This window comes from Homo sapiens, chromosome 9 (assembly GCF_000001405.40).
Source record: "Homo sapiens chromosome 9, GRCh38.p14 Primary Assembly".
Taxonomy (NCBI): domain Eukaryota; kingdom Metazoa; phylum Chordata; class Mammalia; order Primates; family Hominidae; genus Homo; species Homo sapiens.
The window spans coordinates 113,459,521-113,480,869 of record NC_000009.12 but is presented as its reverse complement, the minus strand read 5'-3'; the positions used below and the strand labels follow the sequence as shown (position 1 = coordinate 113,480,869).

Sequence of the window (21,349 nt, the reverse complement as noted above, 5' to 3'; positions counted from 1 at the left end):
GGGGGCCATGACAGCAACTCATGTAACTATTCATGTGCCGGATGGAAGGATGGACACATGGACAGACAAACAGGTGGAGTATGAACTCTTCCTGTGCTGTGCTCCAGCCATGCTAGACAGCTCTTCAAATGCATCCTGCTCTCTCTGACCCCCAGGCCTTTGCACTTGCTAGCCCTGTGCATGAAGTGCTAGCCACACCCTCCCTGCTCCTCTTTGCCTGGCTCAGGCCCATTCCTCCTTCAGGATACCGTGTGGGCATCACCCCCTCCGCCAAGTCTTCCCTGGCATCCCATCAACACCATCTAGACAGGGGTGGGTGCTTCTCCTTGGTGTTCCCAGCCCCTAGCACAGAGCTAATGCTCAATCGCTATTTTTGGAATGTATGGTTTTCTTTTTTTTTTTTTTTTTTTTGAGACGGAGTCTCGTACTGTCGCCTGGGCTGGAGTGCAATGGCATGATCTTGGCTCACTGCAACCTCCACCTCCTGGGTTCTAGCAATTCTCCTACCCCAGCCTCCCAAGTAGCTGGGATTATAGGCATCTGCCACCACACCCGGCTAATTTTTTTGTATTTTTGGTAGAGACGGGGTTTCAGTATGTTGGCCAGGCCGGTCTTGAACTCCTGACCGCGTGATCTGCCCGCCTCGGCCTCCCAAAGTGCTGGGTTTACAGGCATGAGTCACCGTGCCCAGCCAGTTTTCTATTTTATCTAACAAAAACTTACACAGGATTGACTACAAGTTCAGCACTGTTCTAAGCACTTTACTAACAGTAACTCACTTAATCTTTGTAGCAACCTGTAAGATACATAGTATTACCACCACTACTTGACAGATGAGAAAACGGAGCTTGTTCAAGGCCACTCAACAAGTATCAGAGCCAGGGTTCAAATTATAGTGGTCTGGCTCCAAAGACTATGATCTTAACCATGATACTATGCTGCCTGTCAACCAATGAATAAATGAATGAGTGAGAAAAATAGAGAAAAGAAGAAAGGATGGAATAAAGAAGGGAGGGAAGATAGGAAAACTCTTCTGTGGCCCTGCTCTGCTGGGGCCAAGAAGGAAGTTGAGGTACCCAGGGGCAGCTGTAGCCTGTCAATGAGAAAGGTCTACCATGTGGACTCCAGACACATCCAAGGCAGGACCAGGGCTGCTCTATAGAAAGAGCCCCAGGTGAATACTGGCTTTTATCAATGGACACATCCTTTATACAAGGATGAGAAAAGAAGCCTTGGCCCATGGTGCCACCATCCCCCAACCCCAGCCCCAGGCAGCAAGCTGAGTGGCCCGCCCCTTCCTTGGTGAGCCTGCACAAAGCCGTACTCACTGTGAAGCAGCAGAACCCGGTCCTGGGCATCAATGGACAGCCTCAGCTGACCTAAGGAAACAGCAACAGAAACAACCTTGCCTCAGCTCCCTGGTGGGTGTGGTGGAAAAAACTAGAGGAAAGGTGACAGAAATGCTCTTTTGTTCATGTGAAGCCATTCAAAGACTCACACAAGTCTCTGGCTGGCAGGGACCTCAGAAGCCACAGGGTTCAGCCCCGCCCACCACATCGGGAGTCCCTTTCGAATGCCTCCAGCAGTGGTTCTCTAGCCTTGCTTGTGCCCCTCTGGTGATGGGGAGCTCACTACTGTACAGGCAGCCAGGTGGATGCTGGGAAATCTCACTGCTGGGTCGTTGTCAAATGTTGGTAAAGGTGTAGGAGAACAAGTACTGTCATTCTCTGTTGGAAGGAGTGAAAATGGAGGGTAATTTCTGCCAAGATCTACTGAAATTTAAATGTGCATATTCTTCCACCTAAAAGTCTTCATTCCAGGTCACTGTCGTAGACAAACACAAGCACGTGCACACAAAGGCTGGCACTACAGCATTGTTTAAGGAAAAACTGGAAACACCTGAAATGTTCATCAATATAGAAATAGTGAAGTAAACCATCTATAGCTGTATATGGAATAGTATGAGCTGTTATAAAGAATGGAGGAGCACCATACAACCTGGCAGAGGAATATTATTGAGAAAAGTTTTAGGTTTTTGTTTTGTTTTGTTTTGTTTTTGAGACAGGGTCTGGCTCTATCATCCAGGCTGGAGTGCAGTCGTGCAATCATAGCTCACTACAGCTTCAACCTCCTGGGCTCAAGCAATCCTTCTGCCTCAACCTCCCAAGCAGCTGAGACTACAGGCATGAACCACGGTGCCCAGCTATTTTTTAATTAATTTTTTGTACAGAAGGGGTCTTGCTGTGTTATCCAGCTTGGTCTCAAACTCCTGGGCTCAAGTGATCCTCCCACCTCAGCCTCCCAAAGTTCTGGGATTACAGGTATGAGCCACCACGCCCCACAAAGACGAGTTTTTAAAGGAACAAGCAAATTTCAGAACAATACATAGGGTATGTATCTGGCGGGGGAGGGAGGGTTCTGAAAGGATGCCAAATTAAAAACAGTGATCCCTGCTAGAGAACAGACTAGGAATTGGAGGAGGGTAGTCAAGAGGAATTTCAATCTATCACAATTGTTGTTTTAATAATTCAAATATATCCACGAACTATAGCACTTCTATAATTAAAAAGAAAGGAAAGAGGAAACAAAGGAAGAAGGAAAGAGGCAGGAGAAAGGAGGGGAGGAAGAGAAAGAGCAGGGAGGAAGGGAGGAGAACAGGGAGGGAGGGGACATGTAAAGAGAACAGAAGGACGGGGCTGGAAGGCAGGGCAAGAATGAGTGGCCGGGTGAGGTTTATCCCCTGGCTTTTCCCATTTTTGTTTAAATTTTTTAAAAAAAGAAAAAACAGGACAAAACTTCAGGTCATCCTCACAGATACCCAATGGCCTCCAGCCAAGACAGAGAAGAGAGAGAGGGTCACACTCCTCTTCCTCGGTGACATCGAAAATGTTTCTCTCAGTCCAGTAGACTTTCCCTGGGACCTCAAAAAGCTGCTGAACTCAGTCCACCCCATGGACAGGCACTGGAGACATCAGAAAGCAGGGCAGGGCCGTCTACCAGAAAGCCCAGGCATGGCTCCATCTGTGACAACCCTGGCTAGCTGTGCCCTCCCTCTGCCCAGTCACCTGTAGCAATGGGGAGCTTGCTTCCTGTGGTGGGAGCCCTTTCCCTTTTGAAAGAGCTCTGATTGTTCAATGCTGCATCTTATATTAAGCCAACAGTGGCCTCTCGGTAACTTTCATTGCCCGGATCTAGTTCTGCATTCTCTGGGCTCTTTCCTCTAGACCTGAACTCCAAAGTCCTTCCACAATCCCTCACAGCACAGTGAGACATCCCCTCATCATCCCATCTGGCCAGCTCTGGACATGCCTCTTGAAACTAGGCTGGCAGCTGGGGCTTTGCTTTGTTTCTGGTTAGAGAACAGGTTTGGAGAACCCTTCATGTCTCCTAACTCTGCATAAGTCCACCAATCACTGTGACCCAGACATCACTTGACCCTCATACTTCTGGTGGTTAAGCTTCAGTCCCAAGCAATTCAGGCTCCTGCAAACCCTGGTCCAGCCCGTCATCCATCAGAAATATCTGCTGTTCTCCTGTCCAGGACCCAGATCTCAGAAGCCCAGGAATCCTGTTTCAGTTCCAGCCCTAACTGCCCTCTTCTTTCAGGACCACAGTGGCCATGGATGTGAGGTAGAGCTAATAACAGGGGTTATGGCACTCTCCAAGCTGTGATCAGATAATGCTGGCAGGTGAGGAGGACTCCTTGGATGAAAGGCGCCGGGAGAACTGACGGTATCATTATCTCAAAGTCTGAGCAATTACTTCATTGTGGCTTCCTAGAGCTGAGAAACCTATGAAAACTGTGCCCAATCTAGTGTGGGGTGGGAGAGAGAGAGGTTTGGAAACAGGCAAACGAAGCCCGCAGTCATGGGTTGAATTTCACCAACTCAAAGACACCTATGTTTAACATGAAACATTTTTTCTGAAACTACTACCTGTGCAAAGCCAGCTCTGGCACAAACATGCTTGGATCCGAAAGCCACAGGAACCCCTGTGCTCCACAACACCTATCACCTAACTAACAGTGGCCCTTTGCCCAGAAGTCAGGATCAGGAAATCTCCAGACACAAATGGTCACTAATTCCATTTAGCAAATATTTGCTGGGCATCTGCACGAGGCTGGGCAGGTGCCTGCCCTCACAGGGCTCACAGCCCAGTGGCTAGGACAGGGACTTGGGCAAGGCCAAGTGAGAAGCTGGAGGCTGACAAAGGCCCAGGGGCAAAGGCTGACTCGGGATTGAGATGAGTTTGCACCACACTGCACTGCTCCCGTTCCAGGCCCTGCCAGCCAGGGGCTTCTCAGGAAGGCCAGGGTGCCCTGTACCCTGTTACAGCAGAGAAACCAAACCCAGCAGACCAGACTCCAGGCTCCCCAGGCCAGGACACACCTGCCCCAGTTCACAAGATCCCTCCCTCGGCCATGCCTGTCCCCTCCTTCCCCCCATCATGCTACTCCACCAAATGTCTGACACACAGGCCCCTGAAGTCATCTTGTCCAGTCTCCTCATTTTGTAGCCAGAACGGTCATGCCTGAGATGGAAGGTGATTTGCTCTGGGCCCAGAGAATCCAGAGCTGGAGATTAGAACTCTACCCCCACTCCAGCACTCTTTCCTGTGCACAGTCTTCTGGAACACCCACAGCCCTCTAGCACGCACCTCCTCTGCTGTGCCCACTGCGTTTGCCAACACAACCTTCAGATTCAGAGGTAGAGAGAACCATCGGGGACAGCACCAGGTGCCACAGCTTTTCTCAAGAAACCAAGAGGTTAGCTGAGCATAGTGGCACATCCTATAGTCCCAGCTGCTTGGGAGGCTGAGGTGGGAGGACCACTTGAATCCAGGAGGTTGAGCCCACAGTGAACCATGATCACACCACTGCAACTCCAGCCTGGACCTTGGGGAACAGCGTGAGACCTGTCTCAAAGGAAAAAAAAGAAAAAGAAAAAAAATAGAGGGCAGCCTCCTAGAAATGTCTCCAATCTAGAGAAAGAAACCTCCAGGTGAAGGGGAAGTAGGGCTGAATCCCTGGAGTCTTCAGCTCACCGAAGCACCAGCTAATTTGGCATCCTTTCAGAACACCCCCCCCACCCAACCTCCCTCCACAGATACATACCCTATGTATTGTTCTGAAATTTGCTTGTTCCTTTAAAAACTTGTCTTTGTGGGGTGTGGTCGCTCATGCCTGTAATCCCAGCACTTTGGGAGGCTGAGGTGGGAGGATTGCTTGAGTCCAGGAGTTTGACACCAACCTGGACAATACAGCAAGAGCCCTTCTCTACAAAAAATTAATTAAAAAAATAGCCGGGCACCGTGGTGCGTGCCTGTAGTCTCAGCTACTTGGGAGGTTGAGGCAGGAGGATTCCTTGAGCCCAAGAGGTTGAAGTTGTAGTGAGCTATGATTGCACGACTGTACTCCAGCCTGGATGATAGAGCCAGACCCTGTCTCAAAAAACAAAAACCTAAAACTTTTCCCAATAATATTCTTGCTCCTACACCTCTGTTTTTTTCAACACTCCCCATTCCTCCCTAGACTCAGGGAGCAGTCAGGCTAAAGGGCTTGAAGTCATCCTCATCGAGGTTGGGCAGGGCCTTTGGACAGGGCATGTCCCCTGTTCCCATGAGATCGCAGTTGGGCACCAACACTATGTGCAAAAGGTGGTGGTGATGGATGCCCAGAGAGGCTGCAAGTGTGTACCAGGGCCCAGAGCCAAAGGGAGAATAGACAGGGCCCCATATGGCAGGAAAAATACTGGATGGGAATGAGCTTCAGAAAGCCTGGAAAAGGCAACAAACCCAAATTCTGCTGGGCACAGGACTTGAAGGGCTCAGACTTACTGGGCACTTTTAAATGGATGTGGACACCAGCTAAAGAAATTCAGTCTGGCAGACAATACTCAGTAGAGAACCACAGATGAACTCTAACCCACAGGCCACAGTCAGAAAGAGACATACTCAGAAAATAAAGGAAGTAGATGGGGACTGCACACCTTTGCTAGACTCAGGGATCAGCCGGAATGTGTCCCAGTGGGAGCCCATGCCACCCTGAGATGTGCAGAGAATACATCTATGATGGACTTGCCTGGCTAGCATGAAGCAGCAGGCATCCTAAAATCCAATTCACCCCAGAAGCCGCTGCCCATTTAAGAACTGTCACATGTTAAAAGCTACAGGAAGGGTGATGATATCCAGACAAACATATGAAGGCAGTTGGGTCTACATGGAGCCTAGCCAGCCGCTAACATCCACAGATTTCCCCTCCGTTTATGAGGACACGTCTGTACTCAAGTCTTCCTCGCAGGAGGGAGGGTGCCCAGCCAGATGCCAGGCACGCCCTCTCTCTGTGGTCTTCAGCTGCCTCATCCACACCCCAGCCCTGATCCAGGCTCAGAAATGGTTAAGCATGTGTTTACCAATTTCACTGCCTGCTTGATCTAAGGGAGAAATGGTAGGCTGCAGTGGCGCTGGGAAACAGGCAGCCACACAGCTCTATGGACATAACCCAGGAGAATTTCCCATGGCTACTGTGTTAAAAGAAGGAGAACCCTGAGTTCCATTCAAAAAAGTGGCCCTGGTTTGCGAAGGTGAGGACATAGGACACACAGCACTGGCATAAAAATTGTGATGGGTCAGTTCAATCCCCTGGCCTCTCTGCTTCCTGTGAAAGCTGATATTAATGTAGTTTCCCAAGCTCTTTTTCCTTACAGAAAGAGATTGCTCCGGCCAGCATAAGTCTTCTAGTCTACTCAGAAATTCTATTTTTCAGCATAAACTAATAAATTAGCATTCAGTCTCTTGATAATTTAGATTCCCATGGATCACTCACAAGGGATTCTAGGTCCGTCCTGGGCAAGCTGGTAAAATAAAACTCCTGAATCTACTGCAGTCAGCATCTAATCTTGGCTGGATCATAACACCACTAGCAGTCCTGTGGGGCTCAGATCCAAACATCCTACAGGATTCACACACATCTCAACCCAGAGTTCAGGGCCATAGTGAACTACCAGGCTAGGCACACACATGGAGAGAACAAAGTCAATGTTTCTTAGATGTTTACTAGGTACTCAGCACTTTACTATAAGCTTTTTATTTCTTTTACTCCTCACAATAACTCCGTGAAATGGTTACTACTTTTATCCCAATTTACAGGCAAGGAAGCTGAAGATTATTAAGAGGTAAACAGGTTGGCTGGGCATGGTGGCTCACACCTGTAATCCCAACACTTTGGGAGGCTGAGGCAGGATGATCACTTGAGGCCAGGAGTTTGAGACCAGTCTAGGCAACATAGCAAGACTCTGTCTCTCCAAAAACGTTTTTTTAAAATTAGCCGGACGTGGTGGTGTGTACCTGTAGTCCCAGCTACTCAGGAGGCTGAGGTGGGAGGATCACTGGAGCCCAGGAGGTTGAGGCTGTAGTGAGCCATGATCACACCACTGCACTCCAGCCTGGGCAACAGAGTGAGACCCCAACTCAAAAAAAAGAAAATAGCTAAAACAGGTTGTCCAAATCACACAGCCAGTAAGTGGCAGAGCTGGGGTTTGCATTTAGGCAGTCCAGGGCCCCCACTGTTAGCCTCTCTATACCTATCATGGGTTTAAAATTTGTCCACAAAGTCTTTGATACTCTTCCTTTCAAGAGGTGAAGCCTAGTTCCTCCCTTCAGACATGGGCTGGACTTAGTGACTTGCTTCTAACAAATAGAATGTGGTAGAAATGACAGTGGATGACTTTCAACATTAGGATATTAAAGGTATTATTAGTTCCTTCTTTTTTTAACAGCTGTATTGGGATATAATTAACATATCATACATTTCATCAGTTTTGTTTATTATTGAGATGGAGTCTCACTCTGTCGCCCAGGCTGGAGTGCAATGACATGATCTCAGCTCACTGTAACCTCTGCCTCCCAGGTTCAAATTATTCTCCTGTCTCAGCCTCCTGAGTAGCTGGGATTACAGGCATGCACCACCCACACCTGGCCAATTTTTTGTATTTTTTGTAGAGACAGAGTTTCACCATGTTGGCCAGGCTGCTCTCGAACTCCTGACCTTAGATGATCCACCCGCCTCAGCCTCCCAAAGTGCTGGGATTGAGCCACCGTGCACGGCCACACTTCACCAATTTAAAGCATGTAATTTTCTTTTAGTATATTCACAGGATTCTGTAATCAATCACCTCTATCTAATTTTAGAACATTTTCATCCTCCCCTAAAAGAAATCCCATACTCTTTCGCAGTCACACCCTATTCCCTTCTCCCCTCAGCCCTTGTCAACCACTAATCTGCTTTCTGTCTCTAAGGACTTGCCTATTCTGGATACTTATGTAAACAGAATCACACAACGCATGGTCTTTTGTGATTGACTTCTTTCACTTAGCATAATGTTTTCAAGGTTCACCCATATTGTAGCACGTATCAGTATTTTAGTCCCTTTGTGGCCAAATAATATTCCATTGTATGGATATACCACATTTTGTTTATCCACTCATCTGGTGATGGATATTTCAGGTTATTTCGACTTTTTGGCTACTATGAATAATGCCGTTATGAACATGTGTGTGTGTACACATGTTTGTGTGAGCATGTGTTTTCATTCCTCTTGGATTTATACCTAAGAGTGGAATTGCTGGGTCAAATGGAAACTCTACATTTAATTGTTTGAGGAACCGCCAAACTTTTCCAAAGTGGTTGCACCATTTGACATTCCGGCCGGCAGTGTACAAGGGTTCCAATTTCCCCTCAACTTCTTCAACGCCTGTTATTGGCTCTTTTTTTATTATAGTCATTCTAGTATGATAGTATCTCATTGTGGTTTTGATTTGCATTTCCCTGATAACTAATGACATTGAGCATTTTTTCACATGCTGTTAGCCATTTTTCTTTGGAAAAAAATGTCTATTCAAATCCTTTACCCATTTTTGAGCTGGGTTACTCATCTTTTTATGGGAGTTCTTTCTTGCTTTCATTTTTGTATCACTTGCCTAGAAGGAAGCCAGCTGCCACATAATAAGGAAGCTCAAGCAATCCTACGAAGAGGTCCATGCGATGAGAAACAGAAGCCTCCTAATTACAGGTAGCAAGGAACTGAGGCCTCCTGCTGAGAGCCATGTGAATGAGCCATCTTGGAAAGGGACCCTCCAGCCCCAGTAATGCCTGCTCGGACAACTGCAGGTAGGCAGGCAGGCAGGGAGAAAGAAAGGAGGGACGGAGAGAGAGAGCGGGGAGGGGAGGAAGGGACGGAAGAGGCAGGGAGGGAGGAGAAAAGGAGGGAGAGAGGCAGAAAGGGAGGGAAAAAAAAACAAAAACCAACTCAAAAAAGCTTAGAAAATATATGTAGGGGACTTCCATTTCTGGGATGACAGATCCACTGAGGAAAACTAGAAATGCTAAACAAAATATGTTAAAGCATCTTCTTAGATAAACAACAAGAGAGAGAGGAGCTACCAGGCAGGATCTAGGGGAATGGAGGACTGTAGAAGGAAACCTAGTGTTTTTCTGGGCTAATTTCCTCCTGGGGTGTTTTCAAATTCCAGAGGGCTGATTGAGAGATCAAGAGACTGAGTGAGTTTCTGCCTGCTTCTCAGGGCTAGAGGAATAGGAACTAGGGACCAGGGCCCACCAAGAAGCAGGGTTCTTCTGAGCCCCACCTTTTGCATAGGGACCCTGAAGGGTTGCTCCATAGGAATAGAGTGAACTGTAATCAGACACAGCTACTCCAGGGACTACAGCTCGATTTCAAGTACTCTCAGTCCCAACACTGAATTAAGACTAACCCAGTGACCCTAGGCACCTGACAAACGAACAAAGATTTTTTGAAGGAAAATATCATCCTAGGTCTGCATTGAGAAGAAAATAATAATAATAACAACAACTCTCTGCCTATACTGTTTGTTTGTTGTTTGTTTGTTTTGAGTCAGGGTCTCACTCTGACACCCAGGCTAGGGTACAGTATCACAATCACAGCTCACTGTAGTCTTGACCTCCTAGGCTCAAGTGATCCTCCTTCCTCAGCCTCCCAAGTAGCTAGGACCACAGGTGCACACCATCATGCCCAGCTAATTTTTTTATTTTTTGTAGAGATGAGCTCTCACTATGTTGCCCACACTGGTCTCGAACTTCTGGGCTTGAGTGATCCTCCTGCCTTGGCCTCCCAAAGTGCTGGGATTATAAGCATGGGCCACTCACCACTCCCAGCCATGTGCCTGTTCTTTGCAGCAGACACAGCACACCTACAATGTAGATCCAAAAAGGTTGAAAGAAAAAGGATGGAAAAAGATATGTCAGGCAAATATTAAATGAAAGAAGCATGGTTAGCTATGTTAATATCAGGAAAATTAGACTTTATACCTACTAGAAATAAAGAAGACTTCATAACAATAATAGATTTCATAATAAAAATTTCAGCTCACCAGAAAGATAATAATTCTAAATCTGTATGTTGTTAACATAGCTTCAACATATGTAAAGGAAAAACTGACAGAACTGCAATGGGAAATAGACAAATTTACAATCACAGTGGGAATTCTAATACACCTCTCTTAGGAACTGACAGAGAAAACAGGAAAAATCAACAAGGATACGGAATATTTGAACAATATAAAGAGCAAACTTGACCTAAACTTGACATACACAAAGAACACTGCACCCAACTGCTGCAGAATCCTTTTCAAATACACAAAGAACATTTATAAAAATTGACTCTTTGGGAGGCCAAGGCAGGTGGATCACCTGAGGTCAGGAGTTCGAGACCAGTGTGGCCAACATGGTAAAACCCCATCTCTACTAAAAATACAAAAATTAGCCAGGCATGGTAGTGGGTGCCTGTAATCCCAGCTACATGGGAGACTGAGCCAGGAGAATTGCTTGAATCCAGGAAGGGGAGGCTGCAGTGAGTTTACATTGCGCCACTGCACTCCAGCCTGGTGACAGAGTAAGACTCAGTCTCAAAACAACAACGACAAAAAAAAAAAAAAACAACTATATGCTGAGGCATCAAGTAAATTTTGATTAATTTCAAGGAATTAAAAGGATGGAGAGTATATTCTCTGACTAAAATGCAAAGTAAATATAAAAATATTACCAGAAAATCCCCAATATTTAGAAATTTAGAAATATACTTCTAACTAACCCAAGGATTGAAAAAGAAATGACAATGAAAATTAGAAAATATTTTGAAGTAAATGATAAAGAAAAAAACTGCATTATCAACATGCGTCTTCTAAATACTAGAAATGTTCAATTTTTGACTCTGGTGAAAGTTACAAAGGTTTTTTTTTTGTGAGAAGTCACTGGATTGCACATTATTGGGGGGACACTTTTCTGTCTGTCTGTATAATATTTCAAACTTTTTTAAATGTTTAAGAAGAACACACAAAGCAGAATGGGAAAAGAGGACAAAGGGCTATCTATGGGCCAGAAACTTTGAGGAATTTCTGAAAGCTCCTGAGCAGTTGGACTCTGAATGACAGAAAAGCCAATAAATGCTGAGGAGTATGACCAGCAAATGATGAGCTCCTGAGAAACAGTTGGATAGGTTTCCCCAACCATGCCAGGGAATCTCCCAGGCTCAGAGCAGTGGGACTGGAAACACGTGCCAGCCAGGGGCAGCTGGCAGGGACACATTGAAGGCCTCCAGTTCAGGGCCTGACCGTGCACTGCCCAACACACCACGCAGCTGGCTGACATCTGTTCCCAAGCTTCACTCTCACTACAGAAAATGAATTATTTATCTCCACGGCTTCTAAAGAGAGGCAGAGAAAGGAGTGAAACAGGCCCCAGCTAACATTGTACCAACACAACAAACATGAGGCAAAAAAAAAAAAAAAAAAAAAATGCTGAGCAAATCAATGACACTCCTAAGTCTACTCTGCCTCCAGAACCACATCTTCCCAACTTCCCTATGGCAAATCAGTGACTCCAGGCAGTCCTCTCGAGCCTACATTTAGAGCTGCTCCCGACAGCTTTCATTTTGTAGGTTCATAGGGGGCTGGCATTTCTAAAGAGAGGTGCATTTTGTCACCCAATGTCCACAGCCACCTGCAGACCTCAGAACATGTCCAGCTTGCCCACCATCTCCAGACCCAGATACCCTGCAGAAAAGGCAACCTGTTCTCTCTCCTGACCACTCACCATATCCAGGTGACTAGAGATCCCAAGCAAGTTAAAATTTGGTTCAGAGACCCCAGGTAAATTAATAATTTGCTTCATCAGTCAAACTAATAAGTTGGTATCCCTTCAAGATGATATTTTAAAACTATCTATCCAACATTTTTGTGAACTTGAGTTTTTTTATTTTCTATATAAAATATTATGCCTAAAATTCATATGGAAATTCAAGGGACCCAGGACAGCCAAAATGATCTTGAAAGAGAAGAACAAAATTGGAGGATTTACACAACCTGATTTCAAAATGTACTACAAAGCAACAGTAATCAAGACAGTATGATACTGGAATGATAATAGGCAGATAGATCAATGGAATAGAATTGAAAGCCTAGAAATAAGCCGTGGGTTTATGGGCAATTGATTTTCAGTAAAGGTACCAAGATCATCCAATAGAGAAATAATGGTATTTTCAACAAATGGTACTGGGACAACTGGATAGCCACAAAAAACAATGAAGTTGAACTCTTACCTCATACCATACACAAAAATTAACTCAAAGTGGATCAAAGACCTAAATATAAGAGCCAAAACTATAAAACTCTTAGAAGAAAACATACAGGTAAATCTCTTGGTAACTGACAGAACCTTAGATTTGGCAGTGAATTCTGAGATATAACACAAAGTACAAGTAACAAAAGATAAAGTAAATTGAACTTCATCAAAATTAAAAATGTTTGGGGTTCTGGCTGGACACAGTGGTTCATGCCTATAATCCCAGCACTTTGGGAGGCCAAGGCAGGAGATCGCTTGAGTCCCTGAGTTCAAGACTAGCTTGGGCAACATAGGGAAACCTCATCTCTACAAAAAGTTTTTTTTACATAAGAAAAATTAGCCAGGCATGGTGGTGCACATCTGTAGTACCAGCTACTCAGGAGGCTGAAGTGGGAGGATCGCTTAAGCACAGGAGGTTGAGGCTGCATGGTCAAAGAGGAGCCATGATCATGCCACTGAACTCCAGCCTGGGCAACAAAACAAGACCCCATCCCCAAAAAAAGTTTGGGATTCAATGAACACTATCAAGAAAGTGAAAAAAACCCACAGATAGAGAGAAAATATTTGCAAATCATATATCGGTTAAGGAGCTTGCATCTAGAATATATAAAGAAATCTTACAACTCAATAATAACAAGACAAAAAGCCCAATTTTAAAATGAACAAAAGATCTGAATACATTCTTCTCCAAAGAAGATATATAAATAATGAGCACATGAAAAAATGTTCAACATCACGGGTCATCAGGAAAATGCAAATCGAAACTATAGTGAATATCAATTCACACCCACTAGGATAGCTAGAATTAAAAAGTCAGATAATAACAAGTGTTGGTAAGGAATGTGGAAAAACCAAAACCCATATACACAGCTGATGGGAACATAAAATGATACACCTACTTTGGAAAAGAGTTTGGTAGTTCCCTAAATAGTTAAACACAGAGTTACCATAGGACTCAGCAAATCTACTCCTAGGTATATACTGTGTGTATATGAAGAGAAATGAAAACATTTGTCCACACAAAAACTTGTTCACAAATGTTCATGGCAGTATTATTCATAATAGTCAAAAGGGAGAAACAGCCAAAATATTCATCACCAGATGAATAAATTTTTAAAATGTGGTATAGCCATACAATGAATACTACTCAGCCATAAAAATGAATGGAGTATGATATCTGCTACAACATGGATTAAACTTGAAAACATTATGCTAAGTGAAAGAAGTCAGTCATAAAAAAAAAAATACGATTCCATTTATATGAAATGTCCAGAACAGGCAAATCTACAGAGGGAGAGAATAGATTAGCAATTGCTTTGGGCTCGGGACAAGGGAGGACGGTACAAGCTAAAGAGCATAATGTCTCTTTTTGAGGGAATGAAAATGTTCTGAAATTGTGATAATAGTTACACATCTCTGTGAATATACTAAAAACCATTGAATTGTATGGTTTAAATGAGTGAATTGTATATATCTGAATTATATTTCAATAAAGCTGTTACAAGAAAAATCAGCAAATATCCTAATCAAAATAAAATATACAATCCTGGAGAAAAATATTATGTATACCTACAATGACTTCAAATTACATCATTTTTCACAATAAAGAAAAAAAAATCCCTCTAGAGTAGTTGGGTCCTAGCCTCAGCTTGCCTACTCCCTTCCCCTGAAGTAAGGCCACCTCCTCAGAACGCAGTGTCCTTCAATTAATGTCACTTGAACATACTCCTTTTGGGGGACAAGGGGTTGTGTTCATGTGTACACACAAATACATATATCATGCAGTACTCTCCCCGAAGGGAATTCTCATCAAAACAGTTTTGTCTCTTTATATTTCCATAGATGATTATGCTCCCTTTACATGTCTGTGCTCAGGAAACTACCAGCTAAGCAACATCTTCATCTGGTTCTACCAAGGCAAAGCTCACAGTAGAAGGCCAGGGGCTACCTACTTTGCTAAGGAAAGGCCAGTGAACTGAGAAAAACTTAGCCAAAACCTTCACAGTAAAAGTGGTCCCAATTGCTACCAAAACTGACTCTGAATCCATAGCTTCCAAACCTGGATGACAGTCTGAACGCTCTATGGCTTCTTAAGTGTTCATATTCTCAGGCTCCACCCCAGACCTATTAAACTAGAGTCTCCAGAAGAAGATTCTAGGAATCTGTGTATTTTTAACAGGCTCCCCACATGCTTCTGATATTTGGCTGGGTTTGGAAACCACTGATAGGAATCTTTGCTCATAAGCAGATCAGTGAAGATCACAGTGGATAAAGAAAATCAGCAGCCTGAAAGAGGGGCACCACGACAAATGGCACCCAGGGAAACAGAGCCAGTGCAGGAAACAGGAGAGAATTTCTCAAATGCTCTCATAAGCATCCTTAGAGAGATGTGAGAGGAGCCTGCACGAATAAGAGCAGGTGGCTTCCCACCCCACCCAGGCTCCTGTCTGCCTCCTGCACACTCAGGTCACAGTCACTTGTTCAAGCAGCAGCCTTCCCTGATACCCATCAGACTCAGCCCTGAGGCCATGGCTGGGCAGGAAGATCCACTCCCTGCTGGGCCTGAACCCTCCTCAGCTTCCCAGATCTGGCAGGCAGATTAATCTAATAGAAGAACATGGACCAATGCAAGGAAATATTCACATCAGGCCACTAAGGAAAACATATGGGTTACAAAATTGTCCATACAAACTTGATCTCAATTGTGTTGAAATTTGACCCCTAAATACACACAGGCACACACACACACACACACACACACACACACACACACACACAGAAATAGGTGTGGAAATAAGCCTGGGAGGATATAAATCAGAAAGTTAACAGTGGTCTCCCTGGGAAGTCAGATTACAAGTGATTTTCACTTTCTTCTTTTCACTAAGTTTTCAGCAGTAAACACATGTAACCATGATAATAAGGAGGAAAAAAGCAAACATATTTTTACTTTTTAATCAGGACACAGCTAAGGTAAGAGGGCCTCACAGCTCCCTGACACCCTTTCCTGATCACTCCTACCCCAGCCAATACAGATCATCCTGGAAACCACCCTTGTCTCACAGAGCCCTGCATCCCAATGGGGTTAGCAGGAATTGCCTCCTACGCTGGGGCATTAAGTGAGATAATGCAGGTAAAACACTTGGCATAAGGAATGGCAATGGTAAGTTCTCAACAAATGATGGCTAGTTAATTGCCCTTTATCGTCCACCAACTAGACCAGTGAATTCCTGCTGCCAGACGTCAGGCAATTTCAGAGGCCAAGCCACTGCTCTTCCATCATTCCCTCTACCCCTAAGGAAAAAAAGCAGGTTGTGGAAAACCAAATATGTTGAGCAGGAGTAAGCCTGAAAACAGAAGAGCCAGGAACCCCAGGGAGGGACCAAACTCCTTGGGCACTCTGTCTTTGAAAGCTGGGCAATGTCCAGTAATGTTTCAGTAACAGCCCCAACCTTTAGAAGGAAATTGTATGCAAGTTCAAACAAAAATGCGCTGGACAGGTCATCTCTGGAAAGCTTGAGCTCAGCTACGAACTCTGCCACTGGCTCATGGAAGATCTCTTGGTTTCAAGTCTTCACAGAGGAAAAATAACCCCTCTCCACAGAGAGTTGCAGGACCAGTGAGGAAATGAAGGGTTACCCTCAAGGGTAGGGTTGTTACCTTTACTATGGCTACCAGGAAGGCCAGGTTTGCCCAGACCTTTGGGCAGCTGCCGCCCAGCTGTTATTTGGGGGAACTCAGTCTGCTACTTAGGGGCTTGGGAGTGAAGCCTACTGTTCACTTCTTTCCACCTCAAACCCTGAGGCAGCCCTGGGACCCTCCTAAGGGATTGTTCTTTCTTGGAGGAGAGAATTCTCCCATCTCCACTGTGGCTCAGATACCCAACAAAGTCAAATTGCAGCCTCCCCACAAGGCAGCAGGGCCAAAGGGCCCAGCACCTGTCCGCTCCCTGAGCCAAAGGAAAGTGGGTGAATGAGATCTCCAGTTGCTATAACAAGACCTTGATTTAACCTGAGCTGCTTGCTAATGAGAAACTCCGTGGTGACAACCCAGGTCTCTGAAAGATTAACCAGAGCGTGATTATTCCAGCCAAGTGAGGCAGAACCAACCGCAGTTGGCACTCATGGCCGGGCAGCAGGTGGTGTCCAGCAGCTTGCTTGGACTGAGCCTGTGCCCTGAGCCCCTCCTGGGCAGTCACAGGAGAAAGGGGCCAGAGAAGGTGCCCCTAGATAGAAAGAGCACCTGCTCCCAGCCTCCCCTGTCACCACGAGGGGCTGCGTTTCTGGGCGCTGGGAGCAGGGTGAAGCAGCCCCTGCCGCCAGCCCCAGCGGGCACTTACCAAAGGTGGTGAGGTAGAAGGACAAGTCCGGGTGGGCACGCCGGCTCCCGAGGGAGACGCGGTGCAGGGAGCGCTCCATGGCGTCCCACTGCGACCCGGACAGGAGCGTCTGCAACCCGAGGCGGCTGTGTTGCTCCCCAGTAACCGGAGTCTCCAGGGCGGGAGGAGCGCGAGCGGGAGGTAGGGCTGCCCCAAGCGTTGGAACGGCCAGGGCGCGCCCGGCCCTGATTGGCCCGCGCGGGTTTGAATGGGGAGAGTTCCACCTGCCGGAGCAGAGCTGGGCCGGGGTGGGGGAGGCGGCGCCGCCGACCCGCGCTGAGCAGCGACGGCAGCCACCCAAGGAGCCAGCAGGACGGTGCGGCCACCCCGGGTATCCCGGCCCCAGCACCGCGCTCCCGGTTGGAAATGCCAGTCCCACGAGAAGGCCCAGTCCGGGGTGCCCACTCTGGGCAGGCTTGGCCTCCTCGTCCAGCTCTCCTAGACCAGCAATTAGTCGGGTTTATAACCTGCTTTGAAGCTCAGGCCTATAATCATTAGATCCAAGCAAAGGCAAAGGAGCACCCGATGGCCCAGGGCAGTGAGGTTTGGAAAAGTGTTCTCTGCGCTTGGACAGGTCGCCCCCCACCATGCTGCATCCTCTTCCCAAACCCTGCATCCTGGATCACTCTCTTGAGCCTCCTCTTGAACAAGTGCTGCCTGACACAGGTCCGGATGGGAGCAGCTTGCTCCAACCAACCTGATGGCCCCCCGTCCCACAGCCTGATGCCATCGGACAGCAGGACAGGCCCACAGCCTCTGAGAAAGAGGAACGCACAGGAAACGGAGTGGGGTGGGTGAATCCCCCAGCCTGGTGCGGGGAGGCAGAGCTGGAAGGTCAAACCCTGCTTTGCTGCTTTGTCAGCAAACATTTACAGGACACCTCCTCGTAGCAGTTTCACACCAAGACATCTGCTCTGCAAATCTCTGTTGCCACTGTGGGAAGGAAAGCTGTTAGTCTCGTGTAAATCTAAAAATGGGAAGTGTTGGTATTTGTCCCTGTTCCCCAGACTTCATCGCCAAGTGGATATTTGTGGTTCAGTGATCCACTCAAAAACAAGATGGGGAGATGCAAGACAGAAAGTGGAGAGAAGAGTTATGTGTTGAGTACCAGATGCCAGAGGCTGAGCTGAGCTGGGCAATTTACACACATCATCTCAGTTAATCTTCACGGTAAGTCTAATAAGTATTAGCCCCAATTTACCAGGAAGAAATCTGAACCTCAGGCAGAGAAGACAGGTGACATGCCCAAGGTTTGCAGAGCTAGGAATAGGCAGAGCTGAAATTTGAACCCAGGCCTGTCTGCCCCAAACGCCATTGTCCTATTCTTCCTTGGCCTCCACATCTGCCCCATGGCCAACAGCAGGTGGAAGGAGCAAACGCCACAGGGTCAGGTGGCCACCAGCGAGGAGCAGAAACTGCAGAAGGAGCCCTGAATCAGCAAACTGGTGATAAATCACATAAATGCCGTAGGATTGTTTGAATCCTGGCACTTCGTGAAGTCCTGCCCTGCTCTTTACTGCACCCCCCCACCCCACCCCACTCTCCCCCTCCAACCCCGGTTACACACACACATGGTGAACACTGCCTTTAACAAGAGCAGGTCCACTCTCCTAGCCTCAAGCCAGTGACAGATGGACTTACCTGCACCCTGGACTTTGGCATGCGTGATCCTCTTCCTGGCTGGAGAAGTTTGAGTCCACTCATCTCTTCTGGGCAGAGCGATATCAGGGCTTAGCCACTCCATCCAGCCAGGGAATATGGGCAAGCTCAGGCTCAAGCCACAGGATGTAGAGAGGACACTGAGCACAGAGACGTGGCAGACCTGCAGGAGCAAGATGGGAGCATGAGTTAGCCATGGCCTGAAGATGCTCCATGCAAGGTGTGTTCACTCCCAGTAGGAACTAGAAAGCATGGTGTTCAGGAAACAGCAAAGGAAGGCCCACAGGGAAAAGGGAAGGTGATGTGCCTGAGATGATAGTCACCTCTTCACAACTTCGCCAGGGACCACTGTAGAGCCTCCTCCCAAAGGGGAGACTATCTTGGGCTCCAGAGGCTGTGAGCAACCTGCAGGTACAACACTCAGGACGGTGAGATCCAGAAAGAAAATTGGGCAAAGGTGTGCTGTCTGAATGTGACCTAGGAGAGAAAAGACCGAGGCCCACACTGGGCACTTACACCCGGTAATGGGAACAAAGATTCTACTGCTTTGTAGGTCCCCTCCTGACTCCTGCCCCACTCTGCAGCTAACATATTCAGTTGGAAGATTGCAAGGCCAGCCTGATCCTGAGCTGGCCCCTCTGATGGTATCACCTTCACCACCACCAGTAAGGCTCCTTTACTCAGTAGCGTGCTGGAAGCTTCCTTTTCCTAAAAGGACAGGTCGGTCACCCTTTCCTCAAGAGATGGAGGAGAGAGGTGAGTGGGAGCTTGGGCAGGGCACTTCAGGAGAGACTGGCCCTATTAACCCACACTGCTGTCCAAAAGCAACATCCAGAAAGGCTCATGATCATGGCCCTGCTTTCCCCAAGAAGGCAGGAGAGTTGGACCAAGCCTGGCTTTCTCACATGTCCTGAGCATTCTAGCACCCCCTGGGGTTCTTCCACCTCACACATGTGCACACACACTCCACACATACATTATCATACCACACACGATAACAATCATACACTCTGCACACATACATACACATACCTCAACATATCCCATGTACACACACAGTCACATCATATGCACATATACACATACATAAACACACTACATACACACCTCACATACATATACAAACACACCCCACACATTATATATGCATCCTATGCATATATATAAGCACACATCACACTGACACATGCACACAAAACACATACACTACATATATACCATATGCATATATACAGATTGATTTGAAGCACTTAATAAAGTATCGAGCAATGATTTTAGGCATTTTTTTAAAGACTGACTATATCTGGAATAATAAGGAATACTTGAGTTTGAAAAGAAGGGACTAAATGGATTTATTTGGGTGCATTTTCACAATAACTCTCAAAGAATCTTAGTGACTTTAAGATATCATCTAGCCCAATAATAACCAAGAAAACTTAGAAAAATAATAACAAAGGGAACTTGTACTACCAGATGTTAAATGGTGTTAAATAATATAAAACTAAAAAGAAAAGACAGATCGATGGAATTAGAGTAGAAAGTTCAAGGGGATAATTTATTTAGAAAATAACAAAGATTTAAAGTGTTTTAACTAAAAATTCATTTCAAAAAGTTAGAAGAGGAATAAGCTAATTCAGAAGAAAAAAAAATTTTTTTTTTTTTGGAGACGGAGTCTCACTCTGTCACTCAGGCTGGAGTGCAGTGGCGCAATCTCGGCTCACTGAAAGCTCCACCTCCTGGGTTCACGCCATTCTCCTGCCTCAGCACCCCCCGAGTAGCTGGGACTACAGGCACCCGCCAACACGCCCGGCTAATTTTTTGTATTTTTAGTAGAGACGGGGTTTTACCTGTTAGCCAGGATGGTCTCGATCTCCTGACCTTGCGATCTGCCCATCTCAACCTCCCAAAGTGCTGGGATTACAGGCATGAGCCACTGCGCCTGGCCAGGAGAAAATTTTAAAAGGAAATAAGGTTAAAGGTGAAATTTATCCTCAAAAAAATAAACTTCAACAATAAGACCAAAGCCTTGTCTCTGAAAAGTTCAGTAAAATAGACCTCTGGCAAAATGTATACAGAAAACCAGAAATAAGCAAGTTTAGGGAAGAGAAAGCCAAGATATACAGGTGATTTTTTTTTTTTTTTTTGAGAGAGTTTCTCTCTTGTTGCCCAGGCTGGAGTGCAGTGGTGCGATCTCTGCTCACTGCAACCTCCGCCTCCCAAGGTTCAAGCAATTCTCCTGCCTCAGCCTTCCGAGTAGCTGAGATTACAGGTGTACACTACCATGCCCGGCTAATTTTTTGTATTTTTAGTAGAAAGGTGGTTTCACCATGTTAGCCAGGCTGGTCTCAAACTCCTGACCTCAGGTGATCTGCCCACCTCAGCCTCCCAAAGTGCTGGGACTACAGGTGTGAGCCACTGAGCCCGGCCTCTTTTTTTTTATTTTTTTTGAAACAGAATCTCGCTCTGTCACCCAGGCTGCAGTGCAATGGCACAATCTCAGCTCACTCCCAGGTTCAAGCGATTCTCATACCTCAGCCTCCCAAGTAGCTGAGACTACAGGCACGCGCCACCACACCTAGCTAATTTTTGTATTTTTAGTAGAGACAGGTTTTCACCATGTTGGCCAGGATGGTTTCGAACTCCTGACCTCAAGTGAACCGTAC

The 21,349-nt window shown here is 46.3% G+C and overlaps 1 protein-coding gene across 4 annotated transcripts in view, besides 2 other annotated features; it reads right to left on the bottom strand.

Moving 5' to 3' along the window:
* RGS3 (regulator of G protein signaling 3) overlaps positions 1 to 21,349 on the bottom strand; it is a 153,009-nt gene that overhangs the window by 116,869 nt on the left and 14,791 nt on the right. For 3 of the 4 annotated variants that reach the window (NM_001282923.2, NM_001394167.1, NM_017790.6), the window contains exons 1-2: positions 16,989 to 17,143; positions 1,329 to 1,379 (exon numbers count right to left, since the gene is read on the bottom strand). In NM_001282923.2, coding sequence (NP_001269852.1) covers positions 1,329 to 1,358 — 30 coding nt within the window. In that variant the 5' untranslated portion in view covers positions 1,359 to 1,379; positions 16,989 to 17,143. Of the gene's footprint in view, positions 1 to 1,328; positions 1,380 to 16,988; positions 17,144 to 18,668; positions 18,850 to 19,009; positions 19,164 to 20,533; positions 20,626 to 21,349 lie in introns of those variants that run through there. The other variant, NM_144488.8, reaches the window with a different exon arrangement.
* Positions 16,331 to 17,285: an enhancer, noted in NCBI's record as "H3K4me1 hESC enhancer chr9:116225865-116226819 (GRCh37/hg19 assembly coordinates)". NCBI's record gives its function as "activates a minimal SCP1, AML or CMV promoter by ChIP-STARR-seq in naive H9 embryonic stem cells {active_cell/tissue: H9 hESC(naive)}" and the evidence as "EXISTENCE:reporter gene assay evidence [ECO:0000049][PMID:30033119]".
* Positions 17,286 to 18,240: an enhancer, noted in NCBI's record as "H3K4me1 hESC enhancer chr9:116224910-116225864 (GRCh37/hg19 assembly coordinates)". NCBI's record gives its function as "activates a minimal SCP1, AML or CMV promoter by ChIP-STARR-seq in primed H9 embryonic stem cells {active_cell/tissue: H9 hESC(primed)}" and the evidence as "EXISTENCE:reporter gene assay evidence [ECO:0000049][PMID:30033119]".